The 20,624-nt window shown below is 32.9% G+C and overlaps 1 protein-coding gene across 15 annotated transcripts in view; it reads left to right on the forward strand.

Annotated features, from left to right (window-relative positions):
* Positions 1-20,624, forward strand: part of NCAM2 (neural cell adhesion molecule 2) — a 544,921-nt gene that overhangs the window by 465,070 nt on the left and 59,227 nt on the right. For 12 of the 15 annotated variants that reach the window (NM_001352592.2, NM_001352591.2, NM_004540.5 and 9 more), the window contains 3 exons: positions 3,128-3,247; positions 5,184-5,305; positions 13,813-13,993. In NM_001352592.2, coding sequence (NP_001339521.1) covers positions 3,128-3,247; positions 5,184-5,305; positions 13,813-13,993 — 423 coding nt within the window. Of the gene's footprint in view, positions 1-3,127; positions 3,248-5,183; positions 5,306-13,812; positions 13,994-14,206; positions 15,863-16,558; positions 19,633-20,624 lie in introns of those variants that run through there. The other 3 variants (NM_001352594.2, XM_011529582.4, XM_024452081.2) reach the window with 2 other exon arrangements.

Here is a 20,624-nt window from a genome sequence, read left to right on the forward strand (position 1 = left end):
CTATAATTTTAAAGGTTATCTATAAAACCTCTCTTTGGCCAGCTTTCAGTTTTCATGTTTTAGCCCAGGACTGTAATAACAGTTTAGCCATCGGTGTGCCCTCTTCGCTCCTTTCTTCTGCCAACTGATGTGAAACTCGGTCAGTACATGGGTAAGCCTTGAATCTGAGAACAGAAACATGTGAGGAAACAGGGAAATTCCATTCTGAGTTGATACAGTGTAACTAAGGAAATACTTAGCCTTGGCAGAGGTAGTGGGGCATGCAAAACTCCTCATAGCGCCTGTGAAATGTTGAAGGAAGGGGATTGCTGACAATACAAGCCAGAAAGAGCTTTTGCCTGAAATACTCAGATAATTCAAGTAAGATCTGCACTTGATTTTTTTTTGCTGGGGTATGTGGGGTGAGTATCATCTTTATTGTTTAACCTAATTAATAACCTCAACTTTTCTCACAGTAGGTTTGCCCTGGTACTTTGGTAGCTCTGCTGTTATCAATTTTTAACCTACAAAGATGAAGAAATCATATCTAGAATAATGATCTCTACACTTCTGATTTATGTAGGATTTTATTTGCAATTGAAAGTGCATGTTTAAATTCTTTTGCTTCTCTTTTTGCCTTGTATTAAGAAATACAATTGAATATAAGCATTGCCAGATGCCATCACCAACGCAGCCAAGTCACAGACTACTGAATGCTCTTAAAATGATGTTGCAGCTGCACCAGGATATCACAGAAATATGGAAAGGCATACCATATATCAAAGTTGGCTGTTTTATAAAAGGGCGTTTATTCTTCAAGTCTTATTCCAAAACATGTTAGGCCTTAGGACAGCCAATATGATGTTATAGCACAGTCTGTGTTCTATTGCACTCTTTACCCTAATGAAGCATGACTAGATATAGCATGGGGCGTATGAGCCTAGCTCACCTTTGCTTTTGCTTTTAAAAATATTCATTATCTGATTTAATTAATAAAATATTGTGATTTTTAAACTCTTGTTAAAGGAGTTCAAGACCAGCCTGAGCAACATAGTGAGACCACATCTCTATTAAAACCAAACAAAATGCTAAATAAATGCCTTGATTGTAAACATTGAGGAAAAGAATGGAACAAAAGGAAGCATCAAAACAAATTCATGTTATGCTGACTTTCAGCAGAGGCTTTACATCTTAAAGACAGTAAAATTCCAATTTACTAGCATTTTAGCAACCTTGGTTAAATTTCCTCTTCTCATTCCATAATCTATATAAACAACTCTTTATCTATGCACTCAGCTTCTCTTCAGTGTAACTATATACTTTTCTGGGGCTTAAATTATATACCATTAACTACCAGTTATCAAGTGGGTTTGGGTTTCCTGAAAAGTTTGCAGGTCATTACCCTGTCAGAAATCATTGAATTCAAGCCTTGGCTATGCCATTTATCCTTGCAGCTTCTAATCAGTAGGATTTCTGTGCCAATCAATCTATTCCCAATTGGCCTCCCTTAAATCTGAAATAATGTATTATAATCTGAGGCTTCAATAAGGCAGTACACTCTAAAAAGCAAGTTCAGTTTTCTTATAAGGTTGAGAAATTGAGAAATACGAAAGTAAATTTTGCCATTTGGAAATTTAATTTTTTTTGTTGATTTTAGAACATCTGTACAGGATTAAGTAATGTCTGGTTGATATGTGTGTTGTGGCTATTAATATTTATCTGGTATTAAGTAATTTTTATATATTTTTTCTTTTAATTTTGGACACAGTACATTCAACAATGTATTTTTTTCTTTTCTAGAATGTGATAATATAGATTAAATGATTACAATACAAAATGCTAAGCCAGACCTAGTGGCCCACTCCTGAAATCCAAGACTTTGGGAGGCTGAGGTGGGCAGTTTGCTTGAGCCCAAGAATTCAACACCAGCCTGAGCAACATAGTGAGACCCCATCTCTATAGAAAACAAACAAAATGCTAAATAAATACCATGATCATAAATATTGAGGAAAAGAATGGAACGCAAGGAAGTATCACAACAAATTCATTAAGTATCCTCATATAATACAGAGAATATGTTATCTAGTAAATTATAATATAATCATTAGAAATAATATTAATAAATTATATTACAATGTTATTGCATGTATATCATTTCTGGTCATGGTTTATGTAAAACTATAGTTCTGCAAAGATAATCTTAATTACCTATGATTTAATCTTTTATATCTCCTAATATTAATTGATTATGTGACTTGGAGTTACTGTGTAAACCAGACATAACTTCCTTTTGATTTTCATCAAGATATTGTTATATCCCCTAGCTGAGTTTCTGCTTTCTTTAGCAAAAGCATTTAAAGAAAGTGGCAACTATAAAATTCTGGTGGCTCCATCAGATGAATTTTTGAAGATGTAATATTTTGAAATCTATAATTGCATCCAAAATTAACAAGGGTCAAATAACAAGGGTTGACATGACCCAGATATTTCTAGTAACCTTTATTTCCTTGTGCCTTTTCATATTCTTCCTTAGTGTCTTATTGAATCCAGGTCTGGTAGAGTATGTAAATGAGAAGAAACTCAGAGTGAAAATACAAGTTATGAGTAGGCTTCAAACTAGAATTAAAACAACTTGATTTGATTTGAAATTGTAGAATAAACTATTTTTGCTGTATTTTCAACTTTGTCACACTTGTTTGACATGACTAAATCACCTGACATTGGAAGCCAATCTGCATATTAAATTCCATGATTCTATTAAATACTATAGAAATAATCTATGTAGAGTACTTCTACTTGAGACACATACAGAATATATGCATTTTAGCATCATTAACATCATTCTTGGTTTTTGGATATTAAAAAGATTTAACTTTCTACTTTGAGAATGTGTCACAAATGAAACGGGTAATTTTCTTTGAAAGTACGTGGCTTGGAAAGCTAAAATAGAGGTGAAGAAGAGAACTATTCACAAATCAGTTTCTTCTTATATGACTTATCTATTTTTTAGGTATTTCATGGAAAGATTTCAGTGAAATTATTCACTCAGAATTGTAATAGTTTGATTTGTTTTCCTTATTAAAATGTGTCCAATTAGATATATATGTATATATATGTTTTATTTTGTTTTGTTTTGTTTTTCTTCTAGCAATGGTTGTTTTGAACAACCTGGAACCAAATACAACTTATGAAATCAGGGTTGCAGCTGTAAATGGAAAGGGACAAGGAGACTACAGTAAAATAGAAATCTTCCAAACATTACCAGTTCGTAAGTAATCATCTCTATTTTTTATTCTCTTTTGTCATTTTCTTCACTTGCAAATTTAATAGATTTTAAAATGTAGGGAGATGTTTCAACACTTTTGAGACATGAATTATGTCTTTGGTGAAGTGGTTTCTGAAGACAGTGACATCTGAGATTTATTAACATAAAAATAACTTTGCTTTAGAGCAAGGCAGAAAAAAAAGAGTGCACTAGAATACACTCAGTAAAAATTGTTCCCGGGAAATTGTCCTTATTGCAAAAGTGTCCTTCTTACTTATGGTCTGATTAATTGGATTGTAGTCTTCAGACTATATTCTGGGAGAAGAAAAATGTCTATGTAACATGTTCAATATTTTGTTCTTTTTGGAGGCCTGACTATTGACCTTGTTCCACAAATTATATGGGCTCTAAGTGTCAGAAAAGGAATCATTATGTTAATTCATTAAAACAGTGACTGCAGGAGAAGCCTTGTTCTGATAACTATCATATTTTGGGGAATTGTAAGTTAATTGAGTTTACATAGAGTGAAGATTAAATTTTAAAAGACTTAACATTTCCTTTATGTTAAATAAATTACTTTAAATGTGAGAAAACATAATAAATACGACTGAACCACTGTTATAAAAATCTATGCGTAACACTGCCTGATATATATATCTTTATATATATATATATATCGTTGTATATGTGTATATATATATCTTTTTATATATATATATATGTTAGGACAGTCAAAATGGCTGCAATATATTATCTTACAGAGTATCTCTCTATTGGTAATCATAAAATCTGTCAGGTAAGTTTCTTTTCTCCATTCCCAATGCTGGTGGTTAAGATAACCAGCCAGATACGGTGGCTTACACCTGTAATCCCAGCATTTTGGAAGGCTGAGGCAGGCAGATCACTTGAACCAAGAAGCTCAAGACCAGCCTGGGTGATATAGTAAAACCCTATCTCTCCAAAAAACAATAAAAAAAGAATCAGCTGGGTGTGGTGGTATGCACTTGTACTCCCAGCTACTTGGGAGGCTGAGGTGAGAGGTGAGAAGATCACCTGAGTCTGGGGAAGTCAAGGCTGAAATGAGCCATGATCACACTATGGAACTCCATCCTGGGTGACAGAGTGAAACCCTGCCTCAAAAAAAGAATGAAGAAAAGAAAGAAAGAAAAAAGAAATGACAATAACCTGCTGAGAAGAAATAACAGGTCATGCCGGTTTAGAGATATGAAATCCTTTTCAGTGCATGGTCTGTTTTTCTTGGCCCTTCACATAGAAAATTCTTGCACTTTGGTAGATCCCTGTTCTATTCAAAACAATATAAGCATCATTGTTATATGGCTATCTCTATGTTGAAGTATAATATCAAAGGCAAGTATATGAATGAACCTAGAAGAAAATGAAATATTGAAACACAGGTCTATAAAATTGGATACTGCAAACTTTATTCAAATTTGCACCCAGGAAAGAAAATGCTTATTAAAGCACATTTACTAATTGCAAGTCATTATCTTTACTGGTAGGTATATATTCCATACAGACTGATGTGTTAATGTATTCATATTAATAAATGCTTACAAAACATTTACAAACTAAATTTACATTAAGAAAATAAAAATGATTTAATACTATTAATAATAAGAGAAATAAAGTTTTACATTTGTGCAATGCTATACTTTTCTCAGAGCATTTGCATATCAGTGAAAATAATATATTTGGTCCTCAGGCTACAGTTTTGGCATGACACTTCTAGATTTATAATGTTGCTGCTTCTTGGATGGGGAAAATGTTCAGAAATTATATCACAAAAGGGCAATGTCAAATGGTAAATCCAGGATAACACCATATATTTTGATTACATTACTGTTCTTTTTATTAAAATATAGTTTATCTAGGTATCTGAAATGTGTGCAAATGAAGAAATGTTGTATTGTATATCTAGGTGAACCAAGTCCTCCATCCATACATGGACAGCCAAGCAGTGGAAAGAGCTTTAAACTCAGCATCACCAAACAGGACGATGGAGGGGCCCCTATTTTGGAATACATTGTGAAATATAGAAGTGTAAGTACCTTGTTTATTGTCATATCATGCTAGGTTTTTTCAAATTAAATTGAGTTGCACTGAATTTATAAACATATCAGGAGAGAATGTGTATTTAGTAATTGTGGTAATAAATGCTAATCTTCCTTCCATTCCTGACAGTCATCATTGTGATTTTTTTTTATTTTTTTTGTAAAATCTAAGCATGGATCATCAAAGTATTCTCATGGTTTTCATCTTATGATTTTTAGGTGTGAAATGGGACTAGTAAACATTTCAGAAATGAGATATTATTTCCCCTGTTTTGCTGACAAGCTTCTCATTTTATTTGATATTAGTAACTTCAGGCTAAGTCCCTGGCAATCATATGTTAGGTAATATTATTAGAAAAATCACACCTCAAAACAAATTAATCAAATAATTTGACTTACTTATCCATAATGTTTAACAAAGAATGGCCACGGTGAACTTGATGAAGAGGGAATCCTTTTCTTCAACTTTAATTAGCACTATCCAGTAAGGATGTTTGGAGAGCTAAAAGCTGCACACAGATTTTTGATAGAGGTTAGAGGTAAACAATGTTCACTAGTTGCAGAGTCATAGAGTGACACTATGGACAACTGCGTTTTGCCTTCAGAAAAGATGATTTCAAAAGCCACTGAAAATAATTTCTTCAACATTTTTTTCCATAAGTACCTTGGAGTATTGGTGTCTACTGTAAAATAAGTTAAAAATGAAACACAATTTTAAGTTAAATTTTCTAAGATTCATACAACATGCGTTTTATGCTTATGTTGACTGAATCCATATTAGTGCTATCCAAATTAATTATATTTTAGCAGATCATGTTTAAAATAATTACTCCATAGTAGTGTGTGGGTTAATTTTCAGTATTTTCTCATCAATTTTCTAAATTATAATACTGCTGCTTCTAAATGGAAAGATCTACATTCTGAGGGGTAATAAAAAAGAAAAATTTGATTTTGAATGGCATATTTTAATAATTAATTTTAGATATCAAATCAATTTTTAAAATTTAAGATTAATACTCCTTTCAGAGGACAAGTTTTTGTCCCAGCTTTCATACTCAAGTGAGGTCTCCTGGCCATTCTCATTTGCACATTTGTAAACACGGTAGAAGAGAGATAATCTTTTCTAGGGAGGTAGGCTTGGCCAGAATTCATGAATTGGACTGTTAGAACAGGCTTTCCATGCAGATTGTTGCTCACAATTCTAGGATGAAAAAATTTATTGTACAAAATACTGGGGGATAGTAACAGTTTGTAAGGAATTCTAATACAATCCCACAGTGGACTCTAAAATGCAATGACTACTTGTGAGACAACGTGTTGTATATTTTTATTTGTACTGTATTGTCAGTAGTGGCCCCAGTCATTGATGTAATCAAAAATATTTCTTGAGTAGCACTGCATCTATTTAGAGCAAAGCAGAGTCACAAATGGAAATAATGACATTTTAGACAGCCATATATTTATGTATACATATACACAGTTTAAAACATAAATTACTATTTTAAAAATCTGACTTCAAATTCATATTGATTTCTTTAAATGTGGATTAGAATTAATCTTTTTTGAGAAGTTATGTGTGAAACACAGATGGATAGAAATAAGTAAGATTTTAAGCATAATGAGATTAGTAAGATTGAAGAGACTCAAGTTCATATAATGGTACTCAATAAATTTTACCTTTGCACATAGTTGCTAAGGTATAGTTGATACGGCTTACTGATAAAGTTTAAACAAGAACAAATTTTGTCTCCAGTAAAGTTACTCCTTCCGTTTTCTCGCCTTTCTCTTTCTCCTCCCAACCTAATGGTAAAAGTGCCTGGTTTCTTCCCAGTTACCCAGTGTCTGTGCTTACCACGCCAATAAAAGTATGTCCTTTTCCCTCCTCTTCTTTCTAATTTCCAACCCTTTCTAACTCCAGAAGTGCTAGAGGATCTGTTTTTCATAACACATTGGAAATGATTGATTGTATTAATTCATACATAACTATAATTGTCTGATAATCAATCAATTACTAAGTTATCCATCTTAGAGCTACTATCATTTTAACAGGGGACATTGTTTTAATAGTAGAAATTTAGGCACCTATGGCAAATTTTGCAAAGGGAATGATTCCATATCCTTTGTATTATGAGATAGGCATTGCTCACTCTTGGCTATTTTGTATTTTGTAATTAATCAAATATAAAGTGATACTTTTTCACATTTTTTTCAAGCGCCAATGGAAAGTTAGAGAATTTGAGTGACTTGGTGGGGAGAGGGAACAGACATCAGAATGTAATTCATAACAGTCTAAATATGGATGGCAGCAGTACTGGGCAAGAGGCAACCCCTCAATCACTATCTCATCTCAGCTCAACTGCCCAGCTCTTGTGCCTTCGGATACAGCCATCCTGGCACAGTTTCTCTTGACCATATCACTTGATAGTATGCCTTCTAGTTTCATCATTAAAATACTCTATATATCCCTATTTTGTTGTTGTCTCTTCTCTTCTCCACCTCCTCCATCCTGTCAACATCATGCTCTGAGGATCCAATTGGAGATACCATGATTGAATAAAAAATGAAATAACTACTTCAAAAAGTTCTTGATCATCTGTTCTCTTTATATGATTCCAAACTACTTCATCTATTAGTTTCTCAAACCACATGAACTCCACAGTGGAATAAAGTGCAACTGAATAACTTGAAAAAATGGTTTAGACATATTCAATATATTTTTAATAAAAAATGAAGAAAAAAGTACATAGAGGAATCTGGAAAATAAGAAACAGCTCTAAGATTTTCACTTCTTGATTTCTTCTTTGGCCACATCTTTCAACTCCAGTGTGCACAGGGCTATATTCTGAGAACAATGTAATTTAGACAATATATTCTTTATATGACTTGATTTCTAGCAGACACTGAATCTAAGCCTTTAATTTGGGTTTCACTGGGAAAGGACAAGAATAGCTATATCCTATTATAGAAAGTGTAAAACTCCCTATAGATTATGAACCAGGAAACACCATTATTCTGTCAGCCTGTAATACAGCACATGGCTTTGTTCACTCACCCATTACAAAGACAGAATTTATTGGAACAGAACTAGAGTAATAAAAGCAGAATGAGATATTTCTGTGGACTCTTCATGAAAATTAATGTCTCTAACAATAAATCAGTAAGTTTAAACCGTGTGTTTGGAAAATAAAGACAAACATATTAATCTCATGAAATGTTTGGAAAAAATCATGAAGTTATTTTTACATCTACTTTGTACTTATAGTGTCAATGTAACTTCATATAATTTAGTACATAGATTTTTACATGTTTCCATGAGTTTTTCACCATTTTATTTCTAATTTGATGATAGCTATGGGATCATAACTATCACTTAGTGTTGGCATATTAAATACATTTCCTTAACTAAAATAATTGGTAGCTTAAAATCAATTGTAAGGAAGTACTATAGGGACTAGCATTTGTAAGTCTTAATTGAACTTCTTAAGTAAGTTGGAGTCCACGAGGTTGTACACTATCTCAATGGCCATAGGATAAGAAAGGTAAGTTTGAAAAGGGCATTAAAATAATAAATAAGTAAAATCAAGCTTTGGTTCTTAAGAAAACATTTTCCAGTTAATAATGTTTATGTATGTACATGGAAATTTATTTAAAGCCATTATAGTTTAAGTTTTGAAGTATTTTTAAACAATGAATACTTATGGACATTAAAGAGTAGCAAGCATTTTAGTAATTTTTCTTTGCTGTAAGTTAAGAGGATGAGTTTTATTCTTCTTTGTATAGATAGACTATGTGTTGTCTGAATGAACAAATACAGCAAGAAATCAATAAAGAAATTAGCTCACTATACAATTATAAATAGTATTATAAATAGAATAATTAATATGAGAAATAAGAAACACAAGAAAAAATGCACTGCCAATGTTTATAGATATGAGAACACAGAAGGTAATGAATAGGAAAATTAGATTTATTTTGCCTTAAGTACTATGTGGGTGGTGGAGACTAGCAACAGATTATGTAGGGCCTAATTTTAAAAAAGTTTACCAAGCATCAGCACATGGAACAAAGGCAAGTAGAATCTGTTATGATCATGGAAAAAGAGATTTAAATTTAGAACTCGGCTAAAATCTTCAAACCTTTAAATCTTCCAAATGTATATATATACATATATGTACACACACACACACACACACACACACGCACACATACACACACACACACGTATATATAATTTTATATACAATTCGGTGTTTTAAATTTAAGATTAATATCTTTCTCAGAGGACAACTTTTTGTCCCAGGTTTCATGCTAACAATGATGAGTACCTGTTTGTTTCTTTTGGATATTCTGATATGGAGACTTTTGTGCCTCTACCCAGGACAGCTCTGAAGGACTCACTGGTCTCTCGATGAATCTGACAGTGCCATGGTATTCAAGCCAGGTCCCTTGATGCTTCTCGTTTGCCCATTTGTAAACTCTTCTTGAATTCTGTATATGGTCTATCTGTATATATATATAAAAATATATGCTTGTGTGTATATATATGCAATTATATATAATATACAAAATATATGTATAAATATATATATATATATATATTATATATAAAATCCAGACTGATCAATCACCTCTCTGACATTGAGAGTAGCAAATGGAGTTTTAAATAATTTCTGGGCCTTCTGTGAGGTCATGTAAATATGAATACCTGAACCATGCTACCAGGGAATCCAGGAACCGGGAACTGCTTTATATACATACAAAATCTTAAATCATAGGACATGAGAGTCAGAAGAATCAAAACTTCATCTTGCTTATATGAGCTCACCTTCTCTATTGTCCTCTCATTTTATAATTGTTCAGTTTATATTTAAAATGATGCTGATAATACATTTCATGAGACTTCAAAAGGAGTCAGTAAACTGTTTCTTGTTATGAATAAAAGTATCAAGCAGCCCCTGAAAATAAGAAAATAGTGACCCTTACACCTTGCCTCTAATCACTTCCCTGTAGAGATGATAGCCAATACTTTCCTGAATGCTGATAGTATGACTTCAGAATCACTATTAAGAAGTACCCTGAATTGCCATATGGCCCTGCTATTTTCTGACCAAAAAAAAAAAAAAGGAATTGCTTAAGAGAAGCGATACCAAAGGCAAATGACCATTTTTTTTCAGTAGCTGCCCTTCAACATTTAATTGGCTTATTAATAATAGCCATATTCAGCAAATCATCTCATTAAGTTACCTAGGGGAACGTTTTGCAACTAGATTATCTTAAATTGTTCCCTAGGCATTTCAACCTTTGTAAATTAGACACTCTACAGATATGCATACTTGAGATTTTGATGCCAGGGGAGTATTTGGTAACACCCACTTTAATTTTTTTCCTATTCCCTAGGAATAGCAATTAGGGGATTAAAATGCCTTCTTGCCTAATGTTGAAAGGAAAATGTAATTGATTTATGCTGGGAACATGTTAGAGCTCCCTTTGGTTTCTTATACTATCAGCCCAAATACTTAAAATGATGGAGGGCCCTTTAATTTATCATATTAAGGGCTTCAACAAATAAGAGCTAAATGATTGTTAATTTACAAGAGACTGCCTTGTGTTTGTACAGAAGTTTCACCTTAAATGTCTAATTTCCAAAAATGGTATTTTTGAAGGATTACCTGAAGGACATGACATCTATCTATCCCTCTAAAGAATACTTTTTTTTTTTCTGGGGTAATTAAGGTCTCATTTTTTGGCTTATTTTCTGGCTCTTTCACCCACATCTTCACTCAGATACATAACAAAACTGAATTCCAAGTATTTCCACAAAAATATTTACTCACATCAACCACTTCATCGTTACATAGAAAGTACTGAATAGCTGAGGTAATGCCAGGGCCACAGGGACATGCAGCTGTCTGCTGCCTCATGGATCCCTTGTCTTCATACCACCCTTCAGTGTCCTTGCCATACACCCCTTCCTTCCCATATATGTGTGTGTATACACAATTTATAACTTATAAAAATACATGCTACATGTATATATGTGCATATTCATACTGAATATGCTATACATAGCATTTACAATTATATGTTGTGTGTGTTTGTGTGTGTATATATATACATACATTTAACATATCATCTCAAATTACTTTTGGGTTGACTTTTTAAGCTTTTTTGTTCTATGTAGGTCTATATATATAACACATATATAATACATTATAATACATATATATAATACACATATATAATGCACATATATATATATATACACAATTTTTAAAAATTTATATGAAACAGCTACAGTGTTTGCTTATACATCTCCCAGTGATTATGCATCTAAGGCTTAAAATCACTGTGTTTCTTTTTGGATTTAAAGCTGTGTAAAAAACTGACACCTTCTTGTCATTAACTCAATTAGGACAAATGAAGAGAAAAATGGCGCTAGAGTGTATTATTTCCAGGAAGGGTGATATCACCTCCCCACTGGTGACCTGCCTAGCCCTTGACTTTATTAGGTATTATGTGCCTCCATTCCACCTTCTCATTTTTCAAAGGCCTCATGTCTTTCTTCTGGGCTGGTTTGCAAACTACAACATGAGGGTATTGCACATGTCTTGGTCACTATTGTGTTCATGCCTTCTAGAAAGTCCTCACTAATCAATTAACTGAATAAATAATTGATGAATGAGTGGGTGAAGACAGAGGGTGTTGTGATAGCTGTGGCTTTTTAGCATAGCTGCCCTAAGCATTTCAAAATTGCAACTAGGTTTCTTTCTTAACCTTACTGTCCATTGATTAACTTAGAAAAGTTACAACCTCTCTTCTCAGTTATTCCATCGTTCATACATCTCATAATACTTTAAGTAGTACTGGCTACAGGCCATTTTTATAAAAACAGATATTCCTGAGTTTCAAAAATCAAGGCAAGTGCCTCTTGTGTATATTGATAACTTGTAGTGCTTGTTCATTTAAAACCAGGGCTTCGTTAGGGGTTCTAATATCTTCATTTTTACACGAAATAGCAAAACAGGCCAAACTTTTCTGTTCCTTTGTAATGGAAGTTCTATGTCACCAAAAAGTTTATTTCCTTTGTAATAAAAGTTCTGTGTCACCAAAAAAAATATTAACTAGAAAAAGAGAATACTAGTATGTTATCAAAATTACAATGTCTTCTTGCCTCCTTCTGAAGGACACTCCATGTTTGAGTACTGTCAATTTAATGCAATCATGAATTTAACTTTCACAATTATATTTTAGAGAACAAATACTTAATTGTCACCAAAAATGGAGAATACATCGTTATTCTTTATACTCAAAGAAGCAGTGTTAAATTGTGGCTCAACATAGAGTAATACAGGGCTGAGCTATGAGGTTAAAAGACATGTCTGCATCTATTGTTATAGACAGGCTGTAATTTATTTATATTTATACCCTGGGAAAGTGAGATTTGCAGTTGCAATGATAGATTATTAGATACATGATTTCAGAGAAAATGTTTCATTTCCATACAGTTTTTATGGAAACAGTTATATCCTAAAATCGCTGTTATTTTTTTAAGTGGTTATGATCTCTAAGGCCCTGAAATACACAACTTACTCAATTTTCCTCATTGCTTTTCCAAAAACCTGACAGAAGCAGCTGCTACCATCACTTTTGTTATAAAGAGAAGGAAGACAAGCCAGAAAGGTTAAGGAAGCTTTCTGTGTTTAAATTTTTAATACATGGCACAACCCAATAATCACACTGTTTTAGATAATTTAATTTATAATTGTATCAATTTATATTTCATTAGTAATTGTAGTTCTAATGGTAATTTTTTCAAATAAAGGGAAATTCAAATGTCATATGGTCAAATTTATATTTTAGAAAAAGAATGAGATAGTATTTAAGTGTAGAATGTTTGAGAATAGGATGGCGTTGTTTTATATTCTTATGCTAATGATATATTTAAAACTTAGTAATTTTGTTTGTATATTATTTTATGTCATAAAACATCATAGTAGTAAAAAATACCAGTGATAATATAAATCTATCATTCATATCCAGACTTTATTTCAAGATACTTTATCTTTCTTCCCCCCAAAAAACTTTAACAATAGTCCCTGGCAATTCTTTTAATGGACATACTAAGTTTTTTCTGTGTATCATGTTTCATTTTCCCATTCACATAATGATGAATAATCAACAAAATGGCCAAAAAACTAACTGATATATGTGAAATAAAAAAAAAAATCCTAATGGAGGTAAATTGTCAACCACTGAATAAAGGATTAATGACAAAACCACTTTTTGGCTAATATAAACAACATTATATTTTATATAGAAAAATGTTGGAAATAATACTGGCTTCATTGACACAGCAACTTCATGTATCCCTGTGCCTATGAAAATTGTTCCAATATCCAATATAAGTATATTGTTCCAATTCCAATATAATTTTTTTAAAAAGGTGTCACTTTAGTGTATGGATATTTACAAACTGCATTTTTATTGCTTTCACAGAAAGATAAGGAAGACCAATGGCTAGAGAAAAAAGTGCAAGGAAATAAAGACCACATCATTTTGGAGCATCTCCAGTGGACCATGGGGTATGAAGTTCAGATTACAGCTGCCAATAGATTGGGATATTCTGAACCGACAGTTTATGAATTCAGCATGCCACCAAAGCCCAACATTATTAAAGGTAAGCAAAACTATATTCTTTTTTAGACTGAACAATAAATATGATACCACCTTTTTATAACCCTTACTGACTTTTCTTATTAATAATTAAAACAAACTGAAATGTAAATTCCAGGTTCTAATTATTATTGTGACATATCATACACAAAGTTTCTCATCGCTCTTGCCATAGGGTATTGCTTAATTTGTAAATATATTTTGACCCCATTAATAGTTGGAGTGGTGGAGAAAGAATGACTAGGAGAACATAGAGAGTAAGAGTGACTGATGATAATCAACGTGAAAAGTGTCTATTGAGGCCATACGAAAGCTTTGCTAAGAAGACAATTTCTCTGCCAATCATGTGGAGACTGATGATCCAATTCTTGTTAGATTTGACCGAAGGTAATGATGAGCCAACCTATGCCTGACCAAGCAAGTTGATTTTGGAAACATAAAATTAGTCACAAAGAAAGGCAGGAACAGCCACAAATATAATTCCATAAAGACCTATACCTAGAGTTTTAAGAAGGCTCATAAAATGGGAGAACACTGTAAATCAGCCTTTGCAACACACTGGTTAGATTCTACCATTGATAGGTAACAGTGCTTACATTGTTACATCTTAGTATGTTAGTAATATTATGAAAGTTCACAACAGGGATGTTAAAACTTTTATTCAGATAAATGCTCTTGAAGTAAAGATGCAAAAATTTATTCTGACTCAAAATAACATTTAACTCTGTTCATGAGTTGCTAAATTGGTCATATTTCTACATTTATTTTCCCTCAGTTATTACTTTTAATATTTTAATTTTATGCAGACATGTACAGATATTTATGTATATATGGTATATTCTTTATAGGTACATATATACAGAAAAGAACAGCATATTAATCCATGAAACCAAGATTTATTTGTCTTATTATATTAGAGTATAAGTATAGATATATAATATTTTTGAAACTGGAAAAGAAAACTAGCTAGTTCAGTCATGTCATTAAACCCTCTTGTAATTTCAAATTGATGTTAATTTCACATATTATGATTTTGTTATATCATACATCAGTTGTTTAGTAATTGAAAGCAGTTTTATATGATTAATCTTTCAATTAAAAAGTAATTAGTATTGGTTATAAGGTTTAAAAAGTAATTGATATTAGAGCTTTATATTGCTAATGTTAATAAATTCTACCAAATTATAATTTAAAATTAGGAAGTAAAAAGTCCCTGGAAATAACACTGGTATGTTACATTTTAAGGACTTTTTTTACTATTTTCAAAGCCCTTCTGCATTGATTATGTCATTTTATTCTTAAATCTGAGCTGGATAAGGAAGCATTATTCTCATTTTACAAATATGATTTTAAGAGGTTTAATGACATGTTGGAGGTCAGAAATATTTCTAGTTATATGACAAATCTGATGCCCTTACAAGATAACACATCTAAATAAGAATGACTGAATGTACTATCGAATTCATTACCTCTCTATGTTTGAAACATCAGAAACCACTTCTACAATTGTAATGAATACGTATGTGGTAATTATATTTCATGCAAATATCAGGAACATGCTATACGTATTCCCATACTGAGCCAGAGCCTCCTCCAAAGGAAAATTGCAACAGTATATACTATAATCTCCCAAATTTTTAATTTAGTGTATATATTTTGAAACATAATGAATTAACTTAATCCGTTTAATTTAATAATGTATTAAATTTAATATATGAAGTAGAAGGCAAAATTTTAATAACATAGATAAAACATAAAATCAAAAAAATAGATTTTACACAGATTACTAAATGTTATACCCCCAATGACTCTGCTATCTTTGTAAGAAATTGTTGGCCGGGCGCGGTGGCTCACACCTGTAATCCCAGCACTTTGAGAGGCCCAGGTGGGCGGATCACGAGGTCAGGAGATGGAGACCATCCTGGCTAACACGGTGAAACCCCGTCTCTACTAAAAACAGAAAAAAATTAGCCGGGCGTGGTGGTGGACGCCTGTAGTCCCAGCTACTCTAGAGGTTGAGACAGGAGAATGGAGTGGACCCGGGAGGCGGAGCTTGCAGTGAGCCGAGACCGCGCCACTGCACTCCAGCCTGGGAGACAGAGCGAGACTGCGTCTCAAAAAAAAAAAAAAAAAAAAAAAAATTGTTGATGATAAAAACCAACAATACGTGTAGACAAAAGGTTGAAAAAATTAAAAGGTAATAAAAGCAGATATGAAGGCACCAAAGTAACCAAGACATGCTGTAATTCATTTCCTCTCTCTCTATATATATATATTTTTCAATTTGAGAAACTCGTGTCCTGAGAGCTTTGTAGGCAAGACCTGGAAAGAAAATGGATAGAATTCTGGTTTATATTCCCAGATTTGTTCCTGTCACATAACTTGTCAAAATAACTGTTTCCTCATCTCTAAAGTGAGTTCCTTCTGGTTCTGCAATGTTAAGATCTATCATTTATTAATTTAAGAATTATTTATTGGAGTACTTCTTTGTGACAAACCCTTGAATGAGTACAAAGGATTTATCTGTGAAAAATACAGCACTGACCCATGTCCCCCAAAATCTCCACAGTCTGGTAGAGAAGACAGATATTCAACATGAGTTAGAATAACTGCAACTGGCCGGGCGCGGTGGCTCACGCCAGCAATCCCAGCACTTTGGGAGGCCGAGGCGGGCGGATCACGAGGTCAGGAGATCGAGACCATCCTGACTAACACAGTGAAACCCCATCTCTACTAAAAATACAAAAAAATTAGCTGGGCGTACTGGCGGGCGCCTGTTGTCCCAGCTACTCGGGAGGCTGAGGCAGGAGAATGGCGTGAACCTGGAAGGCGGAGCTTGCAGTGAGCCGAGATGGCGCCACTGCACTCCAGCCTGGGCGACAGAGCGAGACTCCATCTCAAAAAAAAAAAAAAAAAAAAAGAATAACTGCAACTAAGAGAGATTTTTCTTAGAAGGTGAGTTTCCAAAGGAAACATGCAGGAATGAACTTTCCAGGGAAAATGTGTGACGTGGAAGGTATCTCTGGGACAAGAAAGAGCATGATCTGTTCTAGGAGGTGGAAAAGGCATGTGTGGAAGAGAACCTGGAAGTGTGTGACTATAGATAAGGTCAGAGAGGGAATGCAAACCAGATAATTCAAGGGCTTTTAAAAACGTAATTGTAAAACATCTTCCAAAAGAAATAAATAATTGTAAGCAGAAAAGTTGTATGAAGAGATAGGTATTATAAACAGATTATTCTTTCTCTTATGGGTAAGAGCAACTGATGGATGAACAGCGGTAGAAAAAATAAAAGAACGAAAAATTTCCTGACACATTATAAGTGTAGACTAACGCTGCCTTTGCAATAGATTGGATTCAGTCAGTAATGACTTCTAGGTTTCTTGCTTGGGCAACTAGAACATTGCTGATGTCATTTCTCAAGGTGAAGAATTTTGTAGGAGAAGCAAGACTTGGAGAATGAGGATCAAACATCAGATCCATTTAGTATTTGTTAAATTTGAAATATCAAATCGTTGGTTAGATATGTGGGCGTATGGAAATGAGAAGATAACCATGGCTTGGAAACATACACCATGATGCTGTCAGTGTTAACAGGTGAATGGTATGTGAGTGAGGGTAAACCCGTCTAAGCAATGCCTAAAATATCTGAAGAGGGGTTGATGTCTGTAGTACTCATTTGTGTTTGCCAGTAACTAGAAGGGCGACTGGCACAGCAGTGATTTCCAGAGAATATTTCTTGAATTACTGAAGAGTAGAAAGAAGTTAAGAACTGAGTTCCAAGGAACTATCATATTATACTAGAAGAAGAAACCAGATCACTCCACCCCTCATCATGAGACTAACACTTTACAAACTTACTGGAAAAACAGGAGCGTAGTATCTTGGAAGTTAACAAAGGGTCATATTTCAAGAAGAATAGATGTAAAGTGTCAAATGCTGCTGAAAGGTCAATGGAACTGAACCAGAACAGATGTGAAGTATCCCTATCACGTGCAGCTTTGCTGACGTCATTGAGAGATAAATTAGGTACAAGTGGGCAGAGAATTGTATGTGAGGTTAGGGAGTTTAGACTCCATATTTATTTAATGCTTTCAGGAAGTTTTTCTATGAAGGTGAGCAGAGGAGGGAAAAAGCCAGTGTTAGAAGGTCTTTTATGATGAAAAATGCTAGATGAAACAAATCAAGGAGTCGTGGAGCAATCACACATACAGGCACACAGACAAAGCCATCTGAGAAGGTAGGAGATGGTATTCACCCCTCTAAACCATGTAGCTGATACAAAGCCATCACAACTTATCAAAAAAAGGGGAAAATGAAATATTTATTTTATTTGTAAAAATGTCACAAATTCAGCCAGGCGCAGTGGCTCACGCCTATAATCCCAGCACTTTGGGAAGCCCAGGCCGGTGACAAGGTCGGGAGTTTGAGACCAGCCTGGACAACATAGTGAAACCCTGTCTCTTCTAAAAATACGAAAATGAACCGGGCATGGTGACACCCGCCTGTAATCCCAGCTACTCAGGAGGCTGAGACAGGAGAATTGCTTGAACCCGGGAGTTGGAGGTTGCAATGAGCCAAGATCGCGCCATTGCACTCCAGCCTGGGTGACAGAGCAAGACTCCATCTCGAAAAAAAAAAAGTTATAAAATCGTGTCTAATTTACTGTTACTGAATCCGGATTGCTAAGGCCTCATAGAAAGTCATATCAGAAACAAACCATAAATTAAGAATTGTTTGATTTAGATCTAGGTTTTGTGAGGCAATTTTAAAGGCTGTGATGATGGGGAATTTGAGAACCTTTCAGATCTTATAGAGTTAACATTATATATTTGCAAAATATGAAAAAAGATCATATAATTTTATAACATTTTATTTTTCATTTTAAAATGAAATATAAATTCAAACATATTAGAAATAAGTTATCTGTAATAAACTAGCACATCTTAAGTCTTTTCATTTAAGTTAGAGAAGATATAGAGTTTAAAGGTTAAAGTGGTTTTAATTTATTTTTATATTTCATGCATTGTAGACTGTCAAAATAAGTTTTCTGGAATTTTGAATTTAAAAACCCATTACTTATGTATATTAGATATATTTAACTTTTTGTAAACAATAGGGTAAGTCTAGAGAACATTTATTTGTTGGACTAAAGCACTATTTTTTCGTTTTTTATCAACCTACTCCCTTTACATTCATATAAAATATTACATTGATAACAATAATTTTTCTTGTAAGTATGCTAGTGGATACTACATTTCTTCTTAGTTTATAATTATTAAAAAATAATTTTGTAATTAATATTTTTCATTTTTTCTTATTAAAGATGTACTTATTTTGAAAGATATGTATTTTGATTTATTTAAAATGGAGTTTCCATAATCAATCGTGTTCCTTTTCAGAATATTCATGCAGCATAACTCCATCTTATTTTATTTTATAAGAAACAAGAATATTGGGAAACTATAGCAGATTAATTGTTATAAAATGACTACCAAACTATGGATTTCAAGGCTGATAGCATGGCATTTATTGATTTGTTCTGTAATCTTAATGACTAAAAATACTACTAAACTTCTGGACTGGATATAATCTAATGTTTAAAAAAATCCTTGGAAATAAATAAACTTACTTTGAAAAACATTTTCACCATTTCTTTTGGCCTGCCACATGTTTGATAACATTTATATTTAACCAAAAAAGACGTTAGTATCTTTCAGTAACTGCTTCCTTCTTTTCCTGAAGACATGTCTAATTTTAATATTGACTATCAATATAATTTGATGACAATAATTCTGTTCAACATTTTTTATATTCAATGATAAAATAATTCTGCCCTCTGGGAACATGTAATGCATACATAATACATACAAAATAGTTGTTTAGATTTAACAAGCTAAAAAAAATAATATAAATCACCACAAAAAATATTGCTAAAATATTTCAGTTACTTTGTATTTTCATGGGCTTTTAATTTGTACTTCCAATGAACTATACAGTAAAATTATTTTGATCACCTCAACTCTAGTTTCAAGCAACACTAATAAATCCTTCATCACTAGATAATTCAACATGAACAGAAAACAACTTTCAAACACATGGCAAATATGAAAATATTATTTTAGGATTACATTTATGGTTGTTTTAGAACATAAGTTTAAAAATTCTAAAACAATGGTGAAATAGAAGTCCAATTACCTGGGGAAACTTCATCTTAACCCTCTGGAATTTTCAGTCTAACCTAAATATTGATACTACACCTGCAGCAGCATTTAGTTTAGCATGTAGTGAAAAAGTAAGTCTAAAAAATATTTTCATAATCTTTGGTTCCTAAAATTGTTTTAAAAGAGATGCAGTGACATATGTCTGGAGTTTGCTTATGGCCAATAGGTTAATGCTTCTAGCTTCTATGCTTATTGCAAATTTTAATTATGTGAATATGCAATTTTCACTTATATTTGTTGGTAGCTTGTTTATTATTAAAATAGAATGGCTTTTATTAAATATATCCTAAGAAATTACGGTAGAAAAAATTACCATCAAACATTGTGGGATATATTGAGATCATATTAAAAGTAGCACTGTGAATTCACCAATAGCACAGTGAAATGACTGGTGACTTTTCCCTTGTAATT

This window comes from Homo sapiens, chromosome 21 (assembly GCF_000001405.40).
Source record: "Homo sapiens chromosome 21, GRCh38.p14 Primary Assembly".
In the NCBI taxonomy this organism is placed as follows: Eukaryota; Metazoa; Chordata; class Mammalia; order Primates; family Hominidae; genus Homo; species Homo sapiens.